Genomic DNA, 6,475 nt, shown 5'->3' on the forward strand with positions numbered 1-6,475 from the left:
GAACTGTGTACTCTTCTCCTGCCATGCATGAATGAAAGGAGATGATCCAGAGTCAGAACCTGAATTAGAGATGGCCATGTGTCAATAGTGATAAAGACTATGAGGCACTAAGAAATGTCAGATGCAGAGAACCCAAATTTAGAATCATGTTGACAGATAAGGAGTTCAAACAGATTATTAAATAAAATCCTGAGTAACATATTTAGCTCTGCTATTCTAGAGAGTAACTGTTAGAACCAGGTTTTTTTTTTTTATATATTCCTGAGTAAACCTTTCCATAGAATTTTGTACTATTGATTTGAAAAAATAACCAACTACACAGGGAAACTTATTGTTGTACTTTGCCCAAGTTTAAGCCTTGTTAATCTTACTGGTAGATAGATTTTATTTGTTGCAAAACTGGTCATAAAACGTATAACTTTATACAGAGAACTACAGAAGTGTTAGTGGCACTTTTATGCCCAATACAGCCCAGTGGATTATAATATTTTCTTAAATTGCTGAAGAGATTTTTGCCAAAAATAAAACAAGTAGCACTCACAGACTTGATTTTTATAACAACATGAAATCTTTACTATGCACATTATTCAAATGTGACACCATACTGGGGACAAAGATAGATTTATATATAGTAAAAAGGCAAGTAAATGAAGCTATAATATTACTTCATTACTCTTAGTACATCTACAACTATTTCCACTTATGGATGTCAGCAAAATAAGCATGCATAAATATTGACTATTTTCTACAAGTATTTATTGTAACGCTTGATTAGAACTATAGGAAGCGCTTGGCACTTGGGCACTGACGGAAGTTTTTTCTTTTTTTTTTTTTTTTGTTTTTTTTGAGATGGAGTCTGCCCTGTTGCCCAGGTTGGAGAGCATTGGTGCAATCTTGGCTCACTGCAAGCTTTGCCTCCCGGGTTCACGCCATCCTCTGGCCTCAGCGTCTGGAGTAGCTGGGACTGCAGGCACCTGCCACAACGCCCGGCTAATTTTTTGTGTTTTTAGTAGAGACTGCGTTTTACCGTGTTAGTCAGGATGGGCCCAATCTCCTGATCTCATGATCCACATGCCTCGGCCTCCCAAAAGTTCTAGGATTCAAGGACTGAAAATGTTGATTCACTTTTAGATTATGACAATTTATACACAGCAAAATTTAATGCTCTTTACATAAAAAATATTAGACTACTTAAACAAAACTTTCAAAAATTCCTGCAGCTACCAGAATTAGAAAAGTAAAATTAGGGTTGAGACACTCCCCTTCTAGAAAACTGGACTTCAATGCATCACCACTGCTGGAAAAAATAGTCATGGAACAGGAAAACAAACAGTGAGATACTTTGAAATAGCCATTCTGCACAGAAGAGAGCTTCTCTCAATTAAAAAAAAAATCCCAAATAATAAAAAAACCCCCAAAACTCTACCGATATATGATACTTGATGTTCAAGTTTAATAGCATGCTGATAGAGGTGTGCTTCCTTACTCAATTTTGAATACATTTCTGCACATGTATATTATAAAATTCAGGAAACAGCCAAATCACAAGTTAATTCTTGACATGAATTTACAGTTAATCCTATTCTAAGCAGCACATTTGAAAGCACTGATATACCCAACAGTTACACAGATTATTTCATAATGAAAAACACAAAGTTTACCATCACTAATACCCAGTAACTATAGTCACTTAATGTCTGCTACTCAATAATAATGCAGAAGGCAAGCTTGTATTGAAACTGGCTTAAACTCAAGTACTTTTCTTGCTAAACATCAAACTTTATTATTCCAGGAAACTAAGATTTAGATTAAACAAATAAATACTAAACCTAATTTAAATTCTGTCTTCGAGTCTATAAAAGTAAGAGATTAGTGGCCTATGGTCAGTTTAAATTTAGGTTTTAGAGAGTTGGTATGAAACTGTTTAACTAGACCACTGAAATGGTTAAAATTGGGGGGTCATTTTAATAAAGTAACATTTTCTATTTAAGAAAAATATTTATGGAGCAAAATTACATGAAACATATTTGGGTCTGTGGTTGTGATACAAATTCTTAGAAATTTAAACATATCCTCCTTAAGATGGAGCTGACATTTTTATCCCAAGGATAATGAAAAATGGATGAGTATGTTGTTGGAATATAACCTATTAAAAAATTGCTTTTGGAAATCTTGTGAATGAGTCTTAATCCAGATCTGTTAGGAGTAGATTATAAAATTGCATTTGGAAAGCTAATCAATGAGTCAGAATCCAAATTCTTCTGTAGTGGAGTCAGCATAATTGTTGCTAATTTTTGCATTTTTGAAAAATATTTTCTTATTGGCTGAGGAAATTAAGGGAGCCTGGACTTGGGAAGAAAAGCTAATTTGAAAAGTCAGTCATAAAAATCACATTATCTTTGAGGCAAAGTTTAATAAATGCCAGCTCTAAGAATTGAAACTTCACCCCTATTCCATTTTATTTCCTATGTAGATAGCAGTTATTTGAGGATAGATGGCGTATATGTGAATTCGTGGTCTCATCCCTTGAAAGCTGGCATGTTACAGGTCCCTATCAAGAAGCATCACATATTCCAATGAGTGTCTTAATAGAACTGCTCTAGCAACAAATGTGAACATGCCACAAATTTCCGGAGTATGAACAATCATTTTAACAAAGGGTTGCCTTTTAAAATTGCTAACTTAAAACCTCTCATATTTTTTCTGAATAAAAAGATTTAACCACTGGGAAGTTTTCCTTGGAGATACATCCCAGTAGCTTGAGATAGAAAGTGAGGTATTTGAACATTTACATTAGTTTGGTGGAATACATATGTTTACTGCAGAGCAGCCATGTGATGATTTGTCAGAGCTGTAAATGCTTCAGCTGAAACACTCTGCCAAATATTTATGTGTAAGAATTGAGTTATTCATTTTACTACGACTTGATATCTTGCAGTTCCTGTTCCTTCTTTGCTTGGATATCTTCACAAGCCTGCATTGTGTTGGCATCCAAGTAAGCTCTGTTAGAAGACAGTATCATGAGAATGTGGATCTAGAAAAGAAGGGTGAGTAGGATGTCTAGAGAGCATGTGAGAAGGCAAAGCATCATGCTAGTTAGGTTAGATGGAGTTGACGTTGAAGGGGAAAAGTGTTATTCTGTATTAATATTTGCTCTATTGCAGAGCTGTGAAATTCTGAAAACATGCTCTACTACTTGGCTTCACATTTTGAAACTGAAGAAAAGTAAGTACACAAACATTGCAAAGTGTTTCTATTGATGACTAAATGTCTGTATACTCATTAGTCTAGATGAGTCACATATATAACACATCTCACTACAATTGGGGCTTGTCTATATAAATAGATATTCATAAAATTTGCCTCAGATGTATATTGTGATAATGCTACTGAGGAATTTATGTTTGTGACTGTTATATTATCTTTAAAATTTTTTAATATTTTGATGTTTCATATTTTGTCTGTTGCCTTGCATCTATAGTTCTCCATCTTTATTCCTTGCATTTTTTCTAAAATTCTCATTTTCCTTATATAATAACAGTGGCCTAATTTTTTTGGATAAATACTTGTTAATTTTTTCTAAATCCTTATTTTCAATATTTCAGTGTGATTATTCCTAGGTGAAAGCAAATTTTTATCAATCTAACGGTAGAGTATTTTATATTTTAACACATGAGTTTAAACAGCTTACATCTAATATGGTTACTCTCTTATCTAAATAACTAACACCTGCTCAGTCAGTTTTTCATTTACCCTAGATTTTCTTTGGCTCTGCCTTTGCCTCCTATCTGCCTTTGTTCTTCTCTCCCTTTCCCCACCCGTCACCTGTTTTTCTAATTGTATTCATTTACTTTTCTTACTCGTATTTTTTTCTTTTTGTGCTTTTGACATTAATCACCAAATTTCTACAGTTTCTGTAGTTAATCAAATTCAAAAATCAAATTAAAAAAATCAGAAAATCAAATTAAAAAAATTAAAGAATCAAATTAAAAAAATTCAATAGCATTTTTTAAACAAAGTAAAACCTATGTCTAGCCCCGTTCAGAAAACAAAACAAACAAACAAACAAAAACTTCCTGCCTACCTCTTTTATTTTGAGATTTATTTTTCTCTTTGCTAAAATAAAATAAGCTTTATGTTTCTTTCTCTTGGTCTTTTGATAAGTCTTTAATATTGGCATAATCTTTGAGAGTTAAAAATATGTTTCTAGTAAATGATATTTTATGTGGATAAATATTTTCTGTAGAGATTATTTTCAAAATCTGTGTGTTTCCCTTTCTGTATATTTTTGTCTTCTTTTGTTTCTTGTAAATGTATATAAAACCTTCCACCACTGAGTTCCACTTTCCTGACTTCTGTTTCATTTACGGTCACCAGGTATAATACAGGATTACCAGTTATATTTTCATTTTAAATAAGCAAATAGCATTTTAGTATAATTCTCAATATTCTAGTAACTTACTAAAATTCTCGTTATCTCATGGGACAGGCTCATACTGAAAACAAATTCTTTATTGTTTGTCAAAAAGTAATCAAATTTTAAATTGAAATGTTATGTCCCTGCACCTGGCAAACTTACTACAGATCAACATAGGAAAGTACTTTTCCTACTGTACTTGTTCGGGGTCTACTGCAGAAGAAACAAACAAACAAAATATTATTTGAGTTCCTTTAATATATGGTTGATTTTTCAATAATGTATAATTGTCTATTTAAAAAAGATTATTTTTTTCCTCCTACCCACATCTTTTTTCCTTTAGATTCCATTTCTTCATCTCAGAGAACTCCTAAACCTACTCATTATGAAGACTTTTTTGATTCAACTTTTTATCCTTGAGTATGACCATTAAGTGTGTCTTCCTTTGCTACCCCTTAGGACATGGAACATCCATCTGTGAATTGTTAATGTCGTCTGTGAAGTGATAAAGCAATCTTTAGTTCTTGAGTGTAAAGTGATTCTTAGTGGGGCAGTTTTGTGTTAACCTTTTTAGGTTTTTAGGAACTTAATTGTTCAATCTAGTATTGTATACCCATTTCTGCCTTTGGGGACCTTATATTTTGTAGGCAACATGAAACAATCTAACCTCAGTCTTGAATATACCACAGGATAGAGGTTGAGATATAAATCTTTCTCTCATGTATTTGAATACAAACCTCATTCTGTGTTAGATCCTAGTATCTGTGAGACATGACTCTCTGTACTGACTTAAGTATTTTACCAAAATGTCTGAATCATGCTTTCTTCCACCAATTATTTAGGCAGGGTGCCCAACCCCACTGGACACAGAAATGGTCTCTTTCCTGAAAATATATCTAAATTTACTCCTCAGTTTACTGTATCAATGAACTGTCAGGTTTATTCTCACACTAATATTGCTGGAGTCCAAACCTCAGGGATGTTTCTTTTCTTGATAGTCAGTGTGTTATTCTTTTTTAAAATTTTATCTTACACTTAGAAGCTCTGGCTTTCATAGGAGTTGTTTTTGCAGCTTTTAACTTTGCTCCAGTGAACTGAAAAATAAACGCTTGATTTCTATTAAATCATTTGTCACTTAACAAATAAAATCTCTGACAAAGGTCTTTCTACTATAACCCTTCAGCATTTGAGGAAGAACACATTTTTGCTTATATTTTCTGGAAGTCTTCCCAATTTTGTTTTATTTTGAAGGGTAGGATATGTATTTTATAATTTTTTCATTGATCTATATTATTAATATGCTCTAAATCATTGGCTATTTTACATATATTATAAAGGCTTTGTTGGGAACAGGCCCCAAAATCTGGTCATAGATTGGCCCCAAAACTGGCCATAAGCAATATCTCTATAGCACTGTGACATGCTTCTGATTGCTATGATGACTACAATGAAGGTTGTTTATCAGAATGAAGGCCAAGGACACCTGGCACACCCAGGGCAGAAAATCACTGAAGGTATTCCTGAACCACAAATAATACCATGAACGATCTGTGCCTCAAAGACACTTTCCCACTGCAGATAACTAGCCAGAGCCCATCCTTTGTCTCCTGTTTTAGTTAACCTGTAATCTATAGAAACAATGCTTATCACTGGCTTGCTGTCAATAAATATGTGTGTTAAACTCTGTTTATGGCTCTCAGCTCTGAAGGCTGTTAGCCCCCTGATTCTCACTGTGCACACTATATTTGTGTGTGTGTGTGTGTGTGTGTGTCTTTAATGCCGCTAGTGCCATTGGGTTATGGTTTCCATGACCGAGCTGGCCTCGGCAAGTGGTGACTATACGGGGTCTCAAATCCAGGTCAAAGGTCACAGGAGCAATGGTTGGAGAATGTAGGACTACACTGGAGGACATCTGGCTACTCTTAAGCAATCGCCATAGTGAGTTAGAAGGGGAGTTTGGAAGCATCAGGTTAACAATGGGACAAGTCCAGGTTCTGGTTTGTTCCACCTTGGAACATTTTCACATTGATGATTAGGAGGAAGGAGAGTATAGCAAAG

At 34.1% G+C, this 6,475-nt stretch overlaps 1 long non-coding RNA gene across 1 annotated transcript; it reads left to right on the plus strand.

Moving 5' to 3' along the window:
- Positions 1-2,964: 2,964 nt before the first annotated feature.
- Positions 2,965-6,089, plus strand: LOC107987349 (uncharacterized). The gene is made up of 3 exons (XR_001756082.3): positions 2,965-3,047; positions 3,165-3,225; positions 4,761-6,089. It is a non-coding gene; the product is annotated as an uncharacterized LOC107987349 (long non-coding RNA).
- Positions 6,090-6,475: the final 386 nt, after the last annotated feature.

This window comes from Homo sapiens, chromosome Y (assembly GCF_000001405.40).
Source record: "Homo sapiens chromosome Y, GRCh38.p14 Primary Assembly".
In the NCBI taxonomy this organism is placed as follows: Eukaryota; Metazoa; Chordata; class Mammalia; order Primates; family Hominidae; genus Homo; species Homo sapiens.